The sequence below is a fragment of the Homo sapiens genome, chromosome 12 (genome assembly GCF_000001405.40).
Source record: "Homo sapiens chromosome 12, GRCh38.p14 Primary Assembly".
NCBI classification, from domain to species: Eukaryota; Metazoa; Chordata; class Mammalia; order Primates; family Hominidae; genus Homo; species Homo sapiens.
The window spans coordinates 118,569,212-118,589,668 of record NC_000012.12 but is presented as its reverse complement, the minus strand read 5'-3'; positions in this window follow the sequence as shown (position 1 = coordinate 118,589,668).

Here is a 20,457-nt window from a genome sequence, read left to right as displayed (position 1 = left end):
GGCAGACCCTGAAGGAGAAAACAGGTGGAGGCAGCCTGCTGACCACACTCCCCACAGCTGGACAGCAAGACCTCCCTTGGAGAGGCTGTGGGTAACGCATCTCCATGTCTACAACATTCCTTACCCTGCTTTATATTTCTTCCTAGGACTTAGCGCCACCTGACATTGTATATATGTACATATCTATGTATTTCCCTGTTTACCATATTTCTGCATCCTGAGACTGTGATTTTTCCAGGGACATAGGCTATGACTGTGTTGTTCTCATTGCCTACAACAGCATTTGGCATGCAGCAGGTGCCCAATAAATATTTGCTCAATGAGTGAATAAACAAATGAGTGCCTGCCTGCCATTGCTGCCAATTTAATAGGGGAGACTCACCAGTAAACAGGCAGTTGCATTTAAACATGGTGAGCACTGCCAAAGGGAATACCCAGGGACAATAGATGGTCTCTAACCCAGCCTGGGGTGTGGAGTGTCCAGGGAAGGCTGTCTGACTTCAAGTCCACTGCTAGTTCCACTACAAGAGGACAGGACAATGGTGCTGAAGCAGGCTTCATTGTACTCCTGGCTACTCCGTCATCTTGATCTGCTGCGCTCGGTTATGTAACCATTTCATGTTTTTATATATTGCCTGTCCAACCAAGTTATACCTTCCCTGAGCCCAGGGGGCATGTCTTACATTTCTTTTCTTTTATCCCCTTCAATGAAGAGTGCAGTGTTTTGTGCACCATTGACATTCACTGAATAATTATAGAATGCATGAATAGGGCCTTTAAGGATGAAGACAGTGAGACTCTGGGTGACCAGGTTTTCTGACCTCCAGTTTGAGATACAAGGTCTGCAAAAATGTTTATTCATTTATTTATTTATTTATTATTGAGATGGAGTCTTGCTCTGTCACCCAGGCTGGAGTGCAGTGGCGTGATCTCGGCTCACTACAACCTCCACCTCCTGGGTTCAAGTGGTTCTCCTGCCTTAGCTTCCCAGTGGCTGGGACTACAGGCATGCACCACCACGCCCAGCTAATTTTTTGTATTTTTAGTAGAGATGGGGTTTCACCATGTTGCCCAGGCTGGTCTCTAACTCCTGAGCTCAGGTGATCCACCCGCCTTGGCCTCCCAAAGTGCTGGGATTACAGGCATGAGCCACTGCGCCCGGCCAAGGTCTATAAAAATAAAAATACCTTTCCCTTAGTGAGCACTAGCTCCAGCCAGATACTCTGCCAAGCACATTGCATACATCAAAGCTATCAATCCTGACAGCAGCTTTGCAAGGTAGAGGTCTGAATATTGTCTCCATTTTACAGATGAGGAAACTGAGGCTCAGAGAGGGGAAAACATTTGCCCAAGGTCACACAGTCAACATGGGGTAGAGCTGGGAGACAAGCCCAAGCCGATGTTCTTAGCCATGACACTGACTCCTGAGGTTAATGGGCAGATTGTTCAAAATCAGAGTAGAATTATAAGATATGGAACATGAGGTCAAACATCTCCAAGATCCTAAAGTCATCAGAGTTTCTGTGTATTCAAGAGGGCAGGGAGCAGGACAAATGACTATTCAGCTCGATTAATTCTCATCTCTAGCAAATTCAGTGTTTTCTCTCAGCCGTCAGTTGTCTCCACCAAAAGAAAGAACCAGCAAGCTGTCTCCCAAAAAGATTCATATGACAGCATGAAGATTAGATGACTTTAACCAGATCCTTACAAATATTAAGACTTGACTTTTTCAACACACTAAGAGTGGTATTAACTCAGAATTAGACTCACATTAGCCGTACCTTAATACTGAAGTATAAACCAGATGGCAATTTATTCATTTATAAAGAGAAATGGCTGGGTGCAGTGGCTCATGCCTATAATCCCAACACTTTGGGAGGCTGAGGTGGGAGGATCTCTTGAGGCCAGGAGTTCAAGAACAGCCTAGGCAATACTCCCAGCCTAGCAAGACCCACATCTCTACAAAAAAATTTAAAATTACCTGGACATGGTGGTGCACACCTGTATCCCAGCTACTTGGGAGGCTGACGCAGGAGGATTGCTTGAGCCCAGGAGGTTGCAGTGAGCTGTAATTGTGCCCCCGAACTCCAGCCTGGGCAACAGAATGAGACTTTATCTCTTAAAGAGAGAGAGAGAGAGAAGGGAGGGGAGAGAGAGAAATGACTGTTGTAGAAATAGACTGGTTCAGAAAGTTTACACAACCAGCACTTTTTCTCCTAGTAAGAAGACCAACCTGGAGAAATAAATAATATGTGGATTTCTGATTAATAAAATTGGGATAAAGAGTGATGGATGCATTCATTGAATGTTTAGTGGCACTAGAGTGAAATGGCTAGGAGCAAGCATCTTATGGAAAGGATAGTTCAAATGGGATAATAACTATCACAAGTCAGCCTGCATTTATCTTATGGCAGAGATTTTTGGTTGCTACCAAAACTAGAGACTTTTGGTCGCTACCAAAAGGCCATTGCCAATCTCGCTTCCCATGGCTGCTTCACACTATAGAGATTAGAAAAACTGACTCACTTTCCCTGCTAAGAAGGATGGTCACATCTGGCCAATGAGATATAATGTCAAATTATCCTAGGGGCTTCTGTAAAGACATTCAGCTTCCTGATGAAGTGAACAGAGGTAGTGCCTCACTGGCACTACCCCTTTCCCTTTTTTCTGCTTTAAATATGGATGTGATACCTGGAGATGCAGCAGCCTTCTTGCCACCATGACATGATATCATAAGGAGGATAAAAAGCCAGTGTGCTAAGAATTGCAGAATGGAATAGAAGAAAGAGTACAGACAATAGATGACATTGTTGATCTACTGCACCAAACCTGAATTTTCCAGCATCCAGGCTTCCAATTAAAGAAGACCATTAAATGTCTTTGTTGTTTAAGCCACTGTTATCTCAGTTATCTGTCGCACCATTAAAGTCACCCAAAAACCCAGTGGTTTAAGCCATTTATTATCTCTCATTATTCTATGAGTTGACTGGGCTCAGCTAGGTGGTTATTCTGTTCCACAGGGTGTTGACTGGGAGTCAACTGGAGGCTCAATGGAGCCAGAATGTCCAGAATATCCAAAATAGCTCATTCACATGGTTGGCAATTGGTGCTGACAGTTAGCTGAGAGCTCACTCTATATGGCTTAGGCTTCTCACAGCATGGCAGTTGGATTCCAAAAGGGAGTTTTCAAAGTGTGCAAAAGTGGGAGTTGCAAATCTTTTGCAGCTCAGCCTTGGAAATGATACAGCATTGCTTCTGCTTCTTTCTATTTTTAAAAGTAAGTCAGAGAGTAAGCCCAGATTCAAGGTGAAAGGAAGGAGACCACCTCACAATGGGAGGTGTGGCAAAGAAGTTTCAGCCACCTTTAATTGACTGCTGTTACCAATCTGCTTTTATATGACTTGTAGCTGAAAGCATGTCTCTAGATCTAGTCTTGCCACTGGAACAAGAAATATTCAAAGACTGAGACTCCTCTATTGGACAAGCTGCCTTGCAACTCTCTGTTCTCTGGGCTTCCATGGTGGACACAGTATCTCTTTAAATATGTTAATACATTTGACTGCATGACAGCCAAGTCTTGCAAGCCTGGGAGCCATCCTGTCTCTTTAAGGTGTCTTTGCATTACTCTGCTCTGATCTATATTAACTTCATGGTTTAACCCTCAGATGGCAATCTTTACTCCTTGTGTTTTCCAAGTGCTTGAGAAAGCATCACTGTAGCTCCCTACATCTGGCAGTAATCTTCATCAAGATGATAACCCTTGCCCTGTCTGCATCACAATGTTGTTAAGAGAATCAGAGGGAAATATGGCTAAAAACATATCTTGGAATGGTTAAAAGGGATTATTATTATTATTATCATAATCAAATAAGCATGTTGTGTTGGTTGTGGCTCTTTTCGTAACAAGCAACATAAAGCCCAATTCAAACCAGCTTAGGCAAAGAGAGAAATGTTGGCTAGAAGTCTGTGGCAGTAGCTGTTTTCAGACATAGTTTGATCCAACAGGATTTATTTTCCACCTACCTCTTGGTCCTGATGTCCTCCAAGTTGCTTTATTTCTTAACAAATGACTGCTAGTAGTTTCAGATGTACATCCTCCTAGGTTCTCTTTCTCTAACAAATTTAAACAAAAGTCCTTCATCTGACTGTTACGGGCTTAAGTTAGGCAACATGCTCATTTCATAACTAATCATTATGGCTAAGGGCACATAATGAGCTGATTGTCCAGGACTAGGTCACATGATGACCCTAATCTAAGGATAAGATCGGTTCTACCATATTACATGGATGGAGAAAATTTGCAATATTGTCACCAGGAGAAGAGTACCCAACACATATGACACAGAAGAAGAGCATTGGGTGAGAACTCTAGGGCCTGATTAACATCTTGGTTCTGCTGGGTTACTCAGTTTTGCTCCTGAAGCTTGCTCTTGACCCAAAATGACAAGAGCATTGTTGTGTCATTTTACTATCAGGGTCATCGTGGTATCTAGCTAACTCTGACCATGTTCTTTAGAGAGTCTTGAGAATGAGTCTGATTGGTTCAGTCTCATGTCGTTTTTATCAAGTCTAGTCCTTGGCCAGCCTGTGGAATAGATGCTCTTGGGTCATGGCCCACCCCCAATCCAATAACCTATGGCTAGGGAGGGACCAGTCATCATTATGGCTCATGAGTGAGCAGAGAGCATAAATGTGAAGAGGGAGGCAGAGAAATGGAGCCAGCAAGACAAAAAGCAGAAGGGGAAGACTCTGCAGCCCCTGCTGGAAGAAAGACATTTAAAGTGGCTCTTTAAAATGGAACACCTGATCCATGGAAGAAAAAAAAGTTTTTAATTAAAAAAAAAAGTTTTTAAATAAAATGACTCAATACTGAGCCCAAATTTTCATAGCAAACTGTAGAAGAGAGAAGGGACTTGATTGGAAATGTGATCTTAAAAAAATAAAACTATATCCTATCAAAATAACAAAATCTAGGTGACCATTTCAACTGTGCATGAATTCTTTAAGGAACAGAAAATGAATTAAGCAGTGATTTTTTTTGTTGTTGTAATTTTTCTGACAAAATCCTTCACTTCAGGTTTGGCTTCCATAGCATATAACAAAAAGGTCATTTAAAAAAAATATTAAAGGGCTTTACCAATTTTTCCTAAGGCTGTCTTGAATCTTTTGATATTTACATATTTCTCTTTTGAAGTGTTCACTGAGTCATTTTCCTTGTCATTTTTTTTTCTTCAACTGTTAACTCTTCTTGGGATAGTATTCAAAATATTGAATAACCAGTATGATACAGGCACTGAACAATTCTCAGAACAGTCACCACGACAACCTACATGGCTGAACGTGCAGATTCAGGCTGAATATCAGCACTGATTCTTCCAATGCTGCTGGATTCTCAGGGGTCATCTGTGATTGTGTCTGTTTTTTAAGCATGTTTTAACATCACTTTCATCAGCTTCATGGAATCCTACATCTTGGACAAGATTTTCAATTACACATTTGCAGTTGGCTTATATTGTACATGCACCAGAGGGTCAGACAGTTAGTAAGAGACTGATTCTCTTTGACAGGACCCATTGGTTGTAAGAAACAGCAATCCATGCAAGGACATGTGACGGGCATTCAAAATTTGGGGGGGCCTTTGAGAGATGGAGTCACGAGGAAATTGATTTAGTAGAAAAGGCTTCATGCTAGCAAAGTAACACAGGAACAGAAAACTGAACACCACATGTTCTCACTCATAAGTGGGAGTTGAACAATGCAAAGACATGGACACAGGGAGGGGAGCAACACACATGGGGGCCTGTCAGCGGGTGGGGGGTGAGGGGAGGGAACAGGTCAATAGGTACAGCAAACCACCATGGCACATGTATATCTAGGTAACAAACCTGCACGTTCTGCACATGTATCTCAGAACTTAAAGTAAAATTTAAAAAAAAAAAGGAAAAGCCTTCATACTAATGTTAAGTAGGGAGGGTCATTTAATTATTAAAATTTTTCATAGTTCAAATTGTGTAATTATTGAAAAACATTATATAACAACTTTTATTTTATTTTATTTATTTTTTGAGATGAAGTCTCACTTTTGTCACCCAGGCTGGAGTGCAGTAGCATGATCTCGGCTCACTGCAACCTCCGCCTCCCAGGTTCAAGCGATTCTCCTGCCTCAGCCTCCTGAGTAGCTGGGATTACAAGCGCCTGCCACCACGCCTGACTAATTTTTGAATTTGTAGTAAAGACAGGGTTTCACCATGTTGGCCAGGCTGGTCTTGAACTCCTGAGCTCAGGTGATCTGCCTGCCTTGGCCTCCCAAAGTGTTGGGATTACAGGTGTGAGCCGCCATGCTGGGCCTTATTTTTTTTTAAGAAAGGGTCTCGCTCCATCATTCAGGCTGGAGTGGAGTGGCATGATCAGAGCTCACTGTAGCCTCGAACTCCTGGGCTCAAATAATCCTCTTCCCTCAGCCTCCCAAGTAGCAGGAACTACAGGCACATGCCAGCATGCCTGACTGATGTTTCTTTTTTATTTTTAAAGATGAGGTCATTCTATGTTGCCCAGGCTTGTCTGGAACTCCTGGCCTCAAGCAATCCTCCCTCCTCGGCCTCTCAAAGTACTGGGATTGTCAGAGGCATTCGAACTAAATGACGCTGAGATCTGCTGGGCTGCATTCCCAGGAGGTTAGGCATTCTTAGTTACAGGATGAGATAGGTGGTCAGCAGGAATGGTATCACAAGATACAGGTCACAAAGACCCTGGTGATAAAACAGGATGCAGTAAAGAAGTAACCTGGCCAAAACCAAGATACTAACAAAAATGACCTCTGGTCATCTTCACCACTCATTATACACCAATTATAATACATTAGCATGCTAAAAGACACTCCTACCAGCACCATGATAGTTTACAAATGCATTACATCTACAAGTTACAAAGGCAACATCTAGAAGTTACCCTACATAGTCTAAAAGGAACAGGCGGATCACAAGGTCAGGAGATTGAGACCAGCCTGACCAACACAGTGAAACCCCATCTCTACTAAAAATACAAAAATTAGCCGGGCGTGGTGGCGCGTGCCTATAATCCCAGCTACTCAGGAGGCTGAGGCAGGAGAATTGCTTGAACCTGGGAGGCGGAGGTTGCAGTGAGCCGAGATCGCGCCACTGAACTGCAGCCTGGGTGACAAAAAAAAGAAAAAAAAGAAAAAAAAGGAATAGGAACCCTCATTTCCAGGAAATCCCTGCCCCTTTCCTAGAAAACTCATGAATAATCCACTCCTTGTTTAGCATATGACCATAAAAATAGCCACCAGCAGCCCTCGGGGCTGCTCGGCCTAGGAAGAAGCTATTCTTTTATTTCTTTATTGCTTAATAAACTTGTTTTTACTTTACTCTGTGGACTCCCCCCCAATTCTTCCTTGCATGAGAGCCAAGAACCCTCTGTTAGGGTCTGGATCTAGACCCATTTCTGGTAGCAGGATTCCAGGCATGAGCCACCACTCCTAGTCAACAACTTTCGCTTCTCTACACAACTTCACAGCTACAAGGACTCAGATGATAAGTACTCAATAACAAGAGCCCCTTAAATTTTGTTTTTGAACGAGCTTGCATAGATTGTGCTTTCTTGCAACCAACAAATCCTGCCAAAAACAATCAGGATTTACAAATAGGGTCACAAGATGATTTCAAAATAAATATCAGACCCACTTGGAAAAGTTATGATGACCATGTATGGGTCTGATATTTTCTGAATTTGTTTCCCAAGCTTACATGCTTCCAACTGGAAATCCTGTTTATAAAATTCAGGACAGGTCCTCTACTCAGTTGTAGACTTTAGCCCACTGATTCAGGAAGGTAGGAGGTTTGCCTTGGTAATCGTGTGACAGAAAACATAGTAAACACACAAGAGACAGAGTAATTGATGAATTTCTCCAACTCATCTCCTAGCAGAGGATTTGAAGTTCTGAGCCTTAGACTTAGGAATCAGGGCTGGCGTGGTTACAAGTCACTGAGTATCTCCCCACCCCCAATTTTGAGGAACAACAGCAATTACTTCATGTTCTGCAATGCTAATTAACTCAAATCAGTCAAAGGCTTGCTTAGATCAGACACAGCTCCAAAACAAACTTGTGAATTCTGCAGACTGTGAATTTTCCTTAATTAACATGAAACACATCCTTCCCATGCCTCATGCCAGAGCTTTTTCAATCTTGGGGAAAAAAGAGCTATAGGATCCAAAGCTAACCATCATTGGCTCTCAAGAGTATAGCAATAAAAAGAGGAGGTTCTAGAGCCAGACAGGTGTGGATGTCAATCTTGGCTCTGCTACTTACTGACTGCCTGACCTTTGGTAAGTCGCTTAACCTGTGTGTGCCTCAGTTTTCACACCTATTAAGTGTGGAAAATAATAGTATCGCCCTCATGGGGTTGTTGTATTAAGTATAAGGTGCTTTCAAGCCCAACAGATAATGGGTGTTCGATAATTATTATGACTCTAACCCAGCGGTGGACACTGTCATTTTTTTTCTACCAGCACCCTTTATTCTTCCTTATGGTAAGAGTCTCTTGGTTTTCCTTTAGGGAACCACTCCCCTTCTACTCATAGACTAGTTCAAGTGGGACCTAAATAAAACCACCGTCAGTTCCAGAGCAGGACCTGTGTATTAGATTGCTAAGGCTGCCATAACAAGGTAACACAGATTGGGTGGTTTAAACAGCTGAAATGTAATTTTTTTTTTTCAAGACAGAGTCTTGCTCTGTCGCCCAGGCTGAAGTGCAGTGGCACAATCTCGGCTCACTACAACCTCCATCTCTCAGGTTCAAGTGATTCTTGTGCCTCAGCCTCCTAAGTAGCTGGGATTACAGGGGTGCATCACCACACCCGACTAATCTTTGTATTTTTAATAGAGAAAGGGTTTCACCATGTTGACTGGGCTGGTCTAGAACTCCTGGCCTCAAGTGATCCACCCACCTCAGCCTCCCAAAGTAAAGAAATTTATTTTCTCATAGTGCTGGAGCCTGGAAGTTGGAGATCAAGGTGTCAGCAGGGTTGGCTTCCTCTGAGGCTGAGGCTTCTCTCTTTGGCTTGCAGACGGCCGCCTTCTTCTTGTGTTTTCACTAGGTTTTTCTTCTATACTTGTCTGTGTTCTAATCACCTCTTCTAATAACAACAGTCATAATGGATTAGGGCCCACTCTAGTGACTTTGTTTTAACCTTAATCCCTCTTTAAAGACCCCATCTCCAAATACAGTCACATTCTGAAGTATTAGGGGTTAAGCTTCAACATATAAATTTTGAGGGGACACAATTCAGCCCATGACCATCTGTGAACCAGATCTGGCCAAAATATTTTCCTCCCCTTAGTCAAGGTGATTGATTCAATCTAAACTTTAACAAACAAAAACCACACACTTCAGTACAGAGAACTTCTTCATCTGTACGATTGGGTGTTGTGAAGACAATGTAAAATAAAGCTGCATGGGGTTACCATGTTGAAAAAGCTAAAACAGGAAAAAATATATATATAACATATAGAGAAATGAAAAGACAGAGATTGAGTCTTGATGTCATTATCTGAGCCCCTGGATCCAGTTGAGCCTGAAAAAAGCCCTACCCCCTTTGACAGTTCACTTGTGTAAGCCACTAAATATCCCTTTTTGTGGCTTGAGCCAGGTTGAGTTGGGTTTCTGTCACTTGCAACTAAAAAAAGCTTTAACTAACATAGCCCCTATTTGATTATTAAGGAACTTGTAGATCCCAAGGAAATAGGAAGGAAAGGAGAAGATCAAAAACCAGAGCTGGAACATGAAAGGAATATTTACAAAACAAATTAGATGGGTAAATATGAGCATATAATAGAGGAATCGGGATAGATTTAAGAACAAATATGTCTGCCTTTAACCTATTCTAATATAAGGATTTTTTTACTCTACACTGTAATTAAAGCAAGGAATTCTTCACTAAACCGTAGGCTTCTTGGAGGTAGTAACAGTGTCTTTGTTCAGATGCAATGGATTTCCAGTGCCTAGCACAAATTGGGCATTCAAAAAATATTTGTGGACTTAAATGGGCTTATTAAAAAATCTTTTGCATTTATGATTCAACATAAACATCCCTTAAATAATGAATTTGCCATAGTATTATACTTGCAAATTCCCAGTATACTCATTGTTGAAGAGTTATACTGATAATCATATAGTAGCTGAGTATGAATTTTAATGAGGTCTAATAACTTAGAGAGGAAACTTTCAAGTGTATGACCTAACCATTAGCTAACCCATAACTGGTCCTTTCTTTACCCATAAATTGCATTATAATTCTCTGTTGCACACACTGGGGCCTGTCATGGGGTGGGGTGGGGTGGGGTAGGGGGAGGGAGAGCATTAGGAAAAATAGCTAATGCATGCTGGGCTTAATACCTATGTGATGGGTTGATAGGTGCAGCAAACCACCATGGCACACGTTTACCTATGTAACAAAACTGCACACCCTGCACATGTACCTCAGAACTTAAAATTTAAAAAAAAATTCTCTCTTGCAATCTGGAATTGCAGCCCCTTGTAAAAGGGGAAGGATGTATGTTCATGACGTTGGATAAGAGCACGAAGTGAGAAGAAGCTGGCCTTGCCCTACTTGGATTATCAAAGGAAGTAACAACTCTGGACAAGGAGAGATTGCTCTGCCTGGTGATAGCAGAGGAGTCTCAGAACCAGAGGAGGAGGTGGCACATGGCTTTATCCTGTGCACCTCTCCCTCACTTAACAACTTTCATTCTTCCTGAAAATGAAAGCCTGCCATATGCTTGCTGAGCTGTGGACTTTTCACGAGCCCAAGTGAAAAGCTGTTAAATGAAAACATATCTTTTTTAAACATTTTTAGGGAATAAATTATGATGCTCTCCCTTCCAACTCAAGACACTCAAATAATCCTCACAGATAGAAAAATGTATCCATTGAACAATGAGAATGAGTTTATGTAAGTAATAACAATCGGAGAGTAAATAAATGCAGTTTGCTCATCAAGTGTAATGCAATGAGAGTTTACGTAGTCATCAAAGGAGGAAGAGAAGACTTGATGGCGGGTGGATACTGATGGGAAAGACTGCAAGGGAGTCATTCTTTACAAGGTGCATTCTTATTTCTGCATTATTTTCTTTACAAACTTTCCAACATTTTGGGAGTCGATGCTTATCCTATGCTCAAGCTGCATATAAAAATTAAAAGTTTTGGAATAGAGGTTGGCAAACTACAGCTCCTGGGCCAAATATGAGCTGCCCAGACATTTACGTATTGTCCATGGCTGCCTTTGCACTACAACAGCAGAGCTGAGTAATTGCAAAGAAATAGTATGGCCTGCAAAACCTGTAACATTTACTATCTGGCCCTTTACAGAAGAGAGCCAATCCCTGGCCTAAATAAATAAATATAAACAAATAAAAAAACACCTTCAGGGCTAAGTAAAGGAGAGCACTCCACTCCACAGCACATAGAAATAGCACATGCACCCAGTGGTCTAAATGAGTTGCAGAAGATGTGACCTCTTCCTGTCTCTCATTTGTCCCATGTATGCAAACCAAAACGTTTTGGATTCATCTAAACATGCATACATTTCAAATTTGTTCCACATATAATAATATTCTCTGACTAGAAACTGTTCCCGTGTACATCAGTGAGCATGTCTTTGCCTAAAATTGTACTGTCAAAATATTACTTCTTATGCCATATTTATTTGGTGTTTGGGGATGAAGGTGTCATTCTATTGACTCAAAGAAAGAAGAGTCATTCTCTGGAAAGGAGCATAACTTTCCACGAGCCATTATGATGAAATTTCATTTATGAACAGTCCTTAGGTGAGTTAAATCTGTATTTCTTGACCAATGTTTCTCGACCTCAGTGCTATTGATATTTTGGGGGATAGATAATTCTTTGTGGTGGCAACTGCCCTGTTCATTGTAGGATTTTAGCAGCACCTCTGGTCTCTATCCACTAAACGCCAGTAGCACCCTCAATCCCAGCTGTGGCAACCAAAAATGCCCCCAGACACTGCCAAATGTCCTCACCCCCAGTTGAGAAATACTGGTCTAAAGAGCATCCCCTGCCCTTCACCTCACCACATCCAACTGCCTATTCTCCCTCCCACCAATCCCATTTCCCCATATCCTCACCCTAGGCATATAATGTGCTATGTCAGAAAGGGGTAAAACTGGACAAAGATTGCATAAGCTGGTGTCTAACATTTACATGGCACTTACCTACCAGAGGTAATACAACATCAGAAAACCCAGAGCCAATCCTGAGTTCTAATCCTTTCTCTGCCACTTCCGAGCTGCCTGAGCAAGTCACTTGATCTCTCCAGACACTTCTTCCTCTGTAAAACGGTGGTAAGAATGTGATAAGAACAATCCTCGCCAGGCATAGTGGTTCACACCTGTAATCCCAGCACTATGGGAGGCCGAGGCAGGTGGATCACCTGAGGTCAGGAGTTCGAGATCAGCCTGGCCAACATGGTGAAACCCCATCTCTACTAAAAATACAAAAAATTAGCCAGGTGTGGTAGCGTGAGCCTGTAATCCCAGCTACTCAGGAGACTGAGACACCAGAATTGCTTGAACCTGGGAGGCGGAGGTTGCAGTGAGCTGAGATCGCGCCACTGCACTCCAGCCTGGGAGATAGAGTGAGACCCTGTCTCAAAACAAAACAAAACAATACAAAACAAAACAATACAAAACAAAAGAATCTTCACTGGGTTATTGTGAGGACTGAATTCACAGAAGCAAAGCACTTATAAAGCTTTTGTTCATTAATTTACAGTGGAAAGGTAAACAACACACAACTGTGAGTTCTTATTCTTACTGTTATCAACCAGATTTGTGTTACCTTGACTTAAGCTGCTCCTCTATCACAAAGTGGCACAGTTACTAAAAAAGACACGAGGTTAGGTGATGTGGTGGGGATGATTGGTACAGATACCCATGTGCCCCTCTGTATTTCCCAGCCTCCCTTGCTGGTGGGGGCCATGTGACTAGGTTCTGGCAAATGGGAATGCGGGCTGTAAGGATGCATCACCTCTAATCCAGGCTTCCTGAGGATCAGAGAGTCTCTCCCACCCTTTCTTCCTCTGCCATGCCAACCTGGAAACTGTTGTTATGTCTGAAACTGTGAAGGGCCTAAGATTTTACCCTACTGCAAGCTACCAAATTAGCCCACTAAAGTTTACACACACATACACCACACACCAAATATACATACACAAATATCACATACACACATATCATACACACCACAAACACCACACACCCACCACATACTAACCATACACAAACATACACACCACATACTAAACATACACAAACATCTCACACACAAAAAAAACAAACACCCATATCACACACACCACATACATACACACATATGTACCACACACTAAACACACACAAACATCACACATACACAAACCACACACACAAACCAAACACACACACCACACACACACAACCATACCAAACATACATAAACATCACATGTATTCACAAACCAAGCACACATCCATATCATACACACTACACACACATCACATACATACACACACATACATACCACACACTAAACACACACAGACATCATACACACACAAATCAAACACACACCACAAACACTTACAACCATACCAGACATATATAAACATCACCTGTACACACAAACCACACACACTCATCCACAACACACACCATGCACACATACACATCACACAGACCACACACACGATACTGAACACACACACACATCACACACACACAAACCAAACACACACATCACATACGTACACACCACACATACCAAACATACATAAACATCACACATACACACAAACCAAACACACATACATCTCATCTACCACACACCATATACACATACACACCACACAGACACACATACATATCACACACTGAACATACACAAACATCACACACACAAACCAAACACATACATACTACACACACCCCAAACCTACACAAACACCACACACACACCAAAAACATACACACCACATACAACACACACATACACAAATATACCGCACACTGCACACATGTGTACCACATACACACACCCCTACACCACACACACACACACACACACACACTGACTAAAGATGACAACCGATCCCTAGGTTAAGGACACAGGCCATTTATTAATCACAACAGAAAAAACAGTGAGAGCACCAACTTTCCATGCCCCAATCTTCTTGGGCAACATGATGTTCACCTGCACCACAGGACGCTAAACTTAGGAGCCTGTGAGCTTCAGTCAAGCTGGAGGTGACCTGCCTATCCTCCCTTATGGAGACATATGACTTCTTACCCTCTAAAATAAGCAAATATCTCTGGGGCATAGGGAAGAAGTCTCTAGGCTTATTACCCTAGAATGTAAGCAAATATCCTCCTGGAAGAGGAAGGGACTTTATTATCTGGAATATCTCCAAGGAAGAAGAGGGTCCCTATCTTCTGTTTGTTGTTCATTCATCCCTGAACAAAACTTGTCAATACCCTTAGCTGGGAAAGCCTGGACCATACAAGAACACAAGAAATCCAGAGAGAATTATCTCCCAAGGTGGAACAGGATGGAAGGAATCTGGATCCCTGAGTCACCAGATGGAGGAGAGGCCTTGCCGATCTCCATCAGACTTTATGTGAGCAAAAAATAAACTTTTGTGCTGTTCCGCCACTGAGATTTCAGGTCTTTTTTGTGGCAGCTAGCATTAATTATCCTGACTAATAAAGATGACTTTAATGTGCATCAGATAAATTATACTTGCCTGAGAACCAGAGAGCTAGACAATATGTAGTAAGCTCTCAATTATAATGATGGGGATGAGATTTGGGAGAGGATAGAAGATTGCGAAGAAGTAATCACCTTACTGGTGATAGAGCAAAATTAAATAGTATTTCAGGGACACACCACTGCCATCCTGGAACATAACCCCCCCGTTTCAGCACATCCAGATGTTATCAGGCCACCTGGTTCATGAACATCCATACTGGAGCCAAAGCTGCGAATGACTTTCACACCAGTTTAGACATTTCCAGATCATCTTAAGCTCAATTACAGCTAAAACAATAATATACCCCTAACATCATTACTGGAAAATCACCAACCAAGCTCGCTAATTGCATTTACTTCTTTATCCTATTAGCACAGCCATAAGTACAGCATACTCTTCCCAGGGGATAACCATTCACAAGGCCAATTTCCTTAGGATGAGACTTTCATATCACAGCAGTTTGGAACTAGTGTGTCTCAGGAAATAAACTGTCAAATCAATAACATTTGCAACCAGAAAATATTTAGAGCAAATAACAGAGTAGAGCCTGCAATTGAGACTGACACGACTCTTACCTGACACTTGGAAGCTATAGCAACTCAGAACTTGAGGTTTTCCAAGGGGCCAATTTGGAGGTACTATTCACATTCCCTGGCAAGACACAAAGAAGCCTCATTATATTACTTTGCAACTCTTTCCCGGAAGCTCACTATATTATTGCTAATCTGGAAAAAGCAAACAGCATTTATTAAATTCCTTCTGTGTTCCAGGCTTCATACCTTAAGCAATGTATGTAGAAAAAAAAATCTTTATGGCAGTTCCTAAAGGCGTTCAAATTCTGGATCTGAAACTTCCTAAGGCAAGTTACTTTATTTCTCTGAGGCTCAGTTTCCAAATCTGTACAATGAAAATAATAATATCTACTCCCCAGAGGTGTTCAGCTGATTGAAGATAAGGTATATAACGTGCATGCTATAGATGAGGTATACCTAAGCATATGGCACATGGGAGGTACTCAATACATCATAGTTATTGCTATGACTCTACGTACCTCTTCATGATTGAAGTTAAGTCAATGTTCATTAAAGAAATTAATGTCCCTCCCCCCGACACTGGGCCATTTGAGGGAAACACGTTCAGATGCCAATCTAGTTTGATCCATCCAATTCTTTCACTTCAAAATAAAAAGCGTGTCATTTTGTTTTTGAGATGATAGGAATAAGTGGTCAGCTTCTCTTCTTTATTATTTCTTTCAGGTAAATCACTTCATCTAACTGCTTTGAATATTTGTGCTTCCCAAAAACTCCTGTGTTGAAACCTAATCTTCAGTGTGATGGCACTAGTTGGTGGGGCCTTTGGGAAGTGATTAGATCATGAGAGTGGGGTCCTCATAATGGAATTAGTGCCCTTATAGGGGCTGCAGATACCAGGGTTCTTCCCATCCTCCATGTGAGAACGCATCTAGAAGGTGCCATTTATGAAAGAGAGTGTGGGTCCTCACCAGACAACCAGACACCAAATCTGCTGGCAGTTTGACCTTGGACAGCTCGGCCTCCAGAACAGTAAGAAATAAATTTCTGTTGTTTATAAGCCACCCAGTTTGTGTTGTTTTGTTATAGCAGCTCAAATGGGCTAAGATACTAATTTAGCATTCTATGAGTATCACATAATGATTGAAAAGTCAATAAAGAAAGAAGGAAGGTACAAAAATCTTGGAAGAGAGAGAAGTGTTTAACAATTCATATAGTCAGGGTTACTTCTGAACAAGGTAGGCCTGGGTTTAAATTCCAGACTTGACACTTACCAACTGTGTGATTTTGGGAAAATACTATAATTTCTCTGAGACACAGTTTACTCTATACAAATACCTCCCACCTCAAAGAGTTAAGATGAAAATTAAGATGATAAATAGTAAAATGTTAATGAATGTTAGTTCTCATTCTCTCCTTTTCAACTTCTATCATTATAAGGTTCAAATTAACTCAAAGGACTAGATTTCACAAAGGACTAAAAATAGAACTACCATTCAACCCAGCAATCGCATTTCTGGGTATATACCCAAGAGAAAATAAATTGTTTTACCAAAAAGACACATACATTCATATGTTCGTCACAGCACTATTCACAATAGCAGAGATGTGGAACCAACACAAGTGCCCATCAATCATGGATTGGATAAAGAAAATGTGGTACATATGTACCATGGAATGCTACACAGCCATAAAAAAGAATGAAAGTATGTCCTTTACAGCAACATGGATGCAGCTGGAAGCCATTATCCTAAGCAAATTAATGAAGGAAAAGAAAACCAGATACCCCATGTTCTCACTTATAACTGAGGAGCTAACATTGGGTACACATGGAGACAAGGATGGGAACGATGGTAACTGGGGACTACGAGAGAAGGGAGGGAGGAAGGAGGAAAGAGTTGAAAAATTACCTATTGGGTACTGTGCTCAGTACCTGGGTGACAGGTTTAATCGTATCCCAAACCTCAGTATCACATAATATATCTATGTAACAAACCTGCACATATACCCTCTAAATCTAAAATAAAAGTTGAATTTTTTAAATAAAAGGATAGTTTGTGAAATCAAATGTTCTTAACAATAAAAAAAATTTAAGTCAATACATGTGTAGGACAAACTGGTGGGCACTGGTGATGTAGTGGTAAAAAAGATTGACAAGGTCACTATCTTCACAGTCCAGCCTACCTTCTGAAGTGAGTAGATTACCCAGCCGCTTTCACAAATCAAGAGAAAAGTTCACTTGCAGGAAAATCCATGTAGAAATAATGTGGAGGGTTCATGAGAGTTTACTAAGAGGACTTGGCTGAGGTGCAAAGAAAGGCCTCCCTGAAGAATATCTCTGTGGCTCATTCTGAATTGTGAACATATTTTCCTAAGTGGCACCAAGACAGTTAGCAAGCGGCCAGATCATTCTGGGCCTTCTAGGGTGAGCCGCAGAAATGCCACATTGTACAACCATGGGGGACTCCAGCGACACTGTACACACAACCTGTGTCGTGAAACCAGCAGCCCTGGTAGACAATGTGCAGAAAATAGAAACTGCAAGGGACCAGAAGCATAAACAAAATATGAAGCCTGGAAGAGAAGGCATTCACAAGAAAGAATAAATTATAAAACTTTCAAGTGCAGGTGTAATAGAGTAGTTCCAGGCAGACTGATGTTCCTACCAAGTATGACTAGAAAAGCAGGATAGAACACAAACACACAAAACGTCTGAAAGGATCAGGGAGCAACAAATACTTGAGTCCTGGAAAGCAAGGGAGTTTAGTGTGCTATGATCAACATTTTGTGCACCACATTCTCCCTTGGGGCACTGATGATTCTTAAATGCCATGGAATGAAAGGCTGAGAAATGGAAGACAGGGATACTGCTAAGAGGCAGAGAAGTCATCAGAATGAGAGGAAACCCCCTGAGAATAGAGACGTGCCGAGATCAGCTCAGTCGGGGAGACCCTAACCCAGCAGCACTAGAGGAATTAAAGACACACACACAGAAATACAGAGTGTGGAGTGGGAAATCAGGATCTCACAGCCTTCAGAGCTGACAGCCTCCAAGAGAGATTTATCCACATATTTATTGACAGCAAGCCAGTGATAAGCATTGTTTCTATAGATTAGAAACTGAAAGTATTCCTTATGGGAAATAAAGGAATGGGCCAAAGTAAAGGGATGAGCTCTGGCTAGTTGTCTGCAGCAGGAGCATGTCCTTAAGGCACAGATTGCTCATGCTATTGTTTGTGGTTTAAGAACACCTTTAAGAGGTTTTCTGCCCTGGGTGGGCCAGGTGTTCCTTGCCTCATTCCAGTAAATCCACAACCTTCCAGTGTGGGCATCATGGCCATCAAGAACATATCACAGTGCTGCAGGGATTTTTTTTTTTATGGCCAGTCTTTGGGCCAGTTTATCAGATTTGGGGGCCTATTCCCAACAGAGATGGAAATTAGCATTTTAGGGTGTCAAAACATCTAGGAGATGAGAGTCCAAATATCTCCCACAAAAAGGAGGTAATGAGAAGTGATTCACAAACACTGCACCAATTTTTCCCTTATTAATGCCGTATAAGGCAAGTATTTTAGAATCAAAGCAAAAGCAGTTGAAAAGCTGAGCTGAGTTCTTGGCATTCTTCTAATACTGTGGCACAAAATTGGAGTCCAGGACCACCAATTAGGAGATGCCTTAGTAAACACAGCCCTGGTTCTCATCTGGGAGCCCTGGTTCCAGAGGGGTGGGTGTCAATTGGAGGCAGGCTGAGCATTATGAAGATCACAACCTACCCCTTAGCCAGCTTACTCCCTAAGTGAATAGAGGTGATATGGCCCTCTGTATGCCTAGCTGCCAGCCAGAGGACAGGGAAGATACTCCCTGAAAAAGGTATCACCTAGAACCTGTACAAGTCTTATACCCAATGTCTATTATTCCACCAAAATTTACCAGGTATAGTACAAACCCAAGCCAAGAAAACAAAAACAAAAACAAAAAAACTAGTTAACAAGTGGGAAAAAAATCTCTGATCCAGCTGATCCAGATATTGGAGTTATCTAAAATAACTATGGTTAACATAATCAAGAAAATAGATGACAAGATGGATATTTTGACCAGGGAGCTTAAATCTATAAAAACAGAACCAAGTAGAAATCCTAAAACCTGAAAATACAAATTTGAAAGTAAGAATTTACTAGAATGTCTAGCAGTAGATTATAGACTAATTTAAAAACAAAGAAAAGAAAAAAGATTAGTGAAACAGGAGATAAGTCAGTAGAAAATATCCAGACTAAAGCTGAAGAAAAAAAATGAGATGGAAAATCAAAAAAGAAAATCAGAAGCAAAAGAGACACAGTAAAAAGTTCTAACATATGTATAAATGGAGCCCCAGAATTAAAGAATACAGAGAATGTGGAAGCAATATTTGCAAAAAATCATAGCCAAGAAATTTCCAAAACTGAGTAAAAACATCAAGACATAGATTCAAGATGTTCAGAGAACCCCAAGCAGGATACATACAAAGAAAACCACAGCTAGACACATCACAATACAATGAAACCTAAAAACAAATGAAATTTAAAAACTTAAAATCAGGGAAAAAAAGACATTGATATCAAAGAGGCAAGTACATGAGATCTGACTTCTCAGCAGAGATGATGGAGGCAAAAAGACAACCAGAGAAAGTATCATTCAAGATAGGATTCTATACATACTGAAAGTATCATTAAACAGGAAGGTAAATATATTTTGAATAAAATAAAACAGAGAATTTGTCACCAGCAGAGCCAACTAAAAACAAACATTTAAGGAGATTCTGCAGGTAAAGGAAAATGATCACAGACAGAAATACAGGAGGGATTGAAGAGCAACAGAAAGGGTATTAAATAGATCTGAATGAATACTGAAAACAATAGCAATAATTTCTTATGAGTTTCTAAATATACATAGATTTAAATAAATAAAATCAAAAACACAAAAGGCAGGAGAAAGATAAATTAATTTATAGTGTTCATAGTCCTTAGTATTTACAAGTAATAAAGATACTTACAAGTAATAAAGATACGGATTTATATCAGACTCAAAAAAACAAAGAAGGCATGTCTTTATTTCTAGGGTAATTACTAAAAGCAGG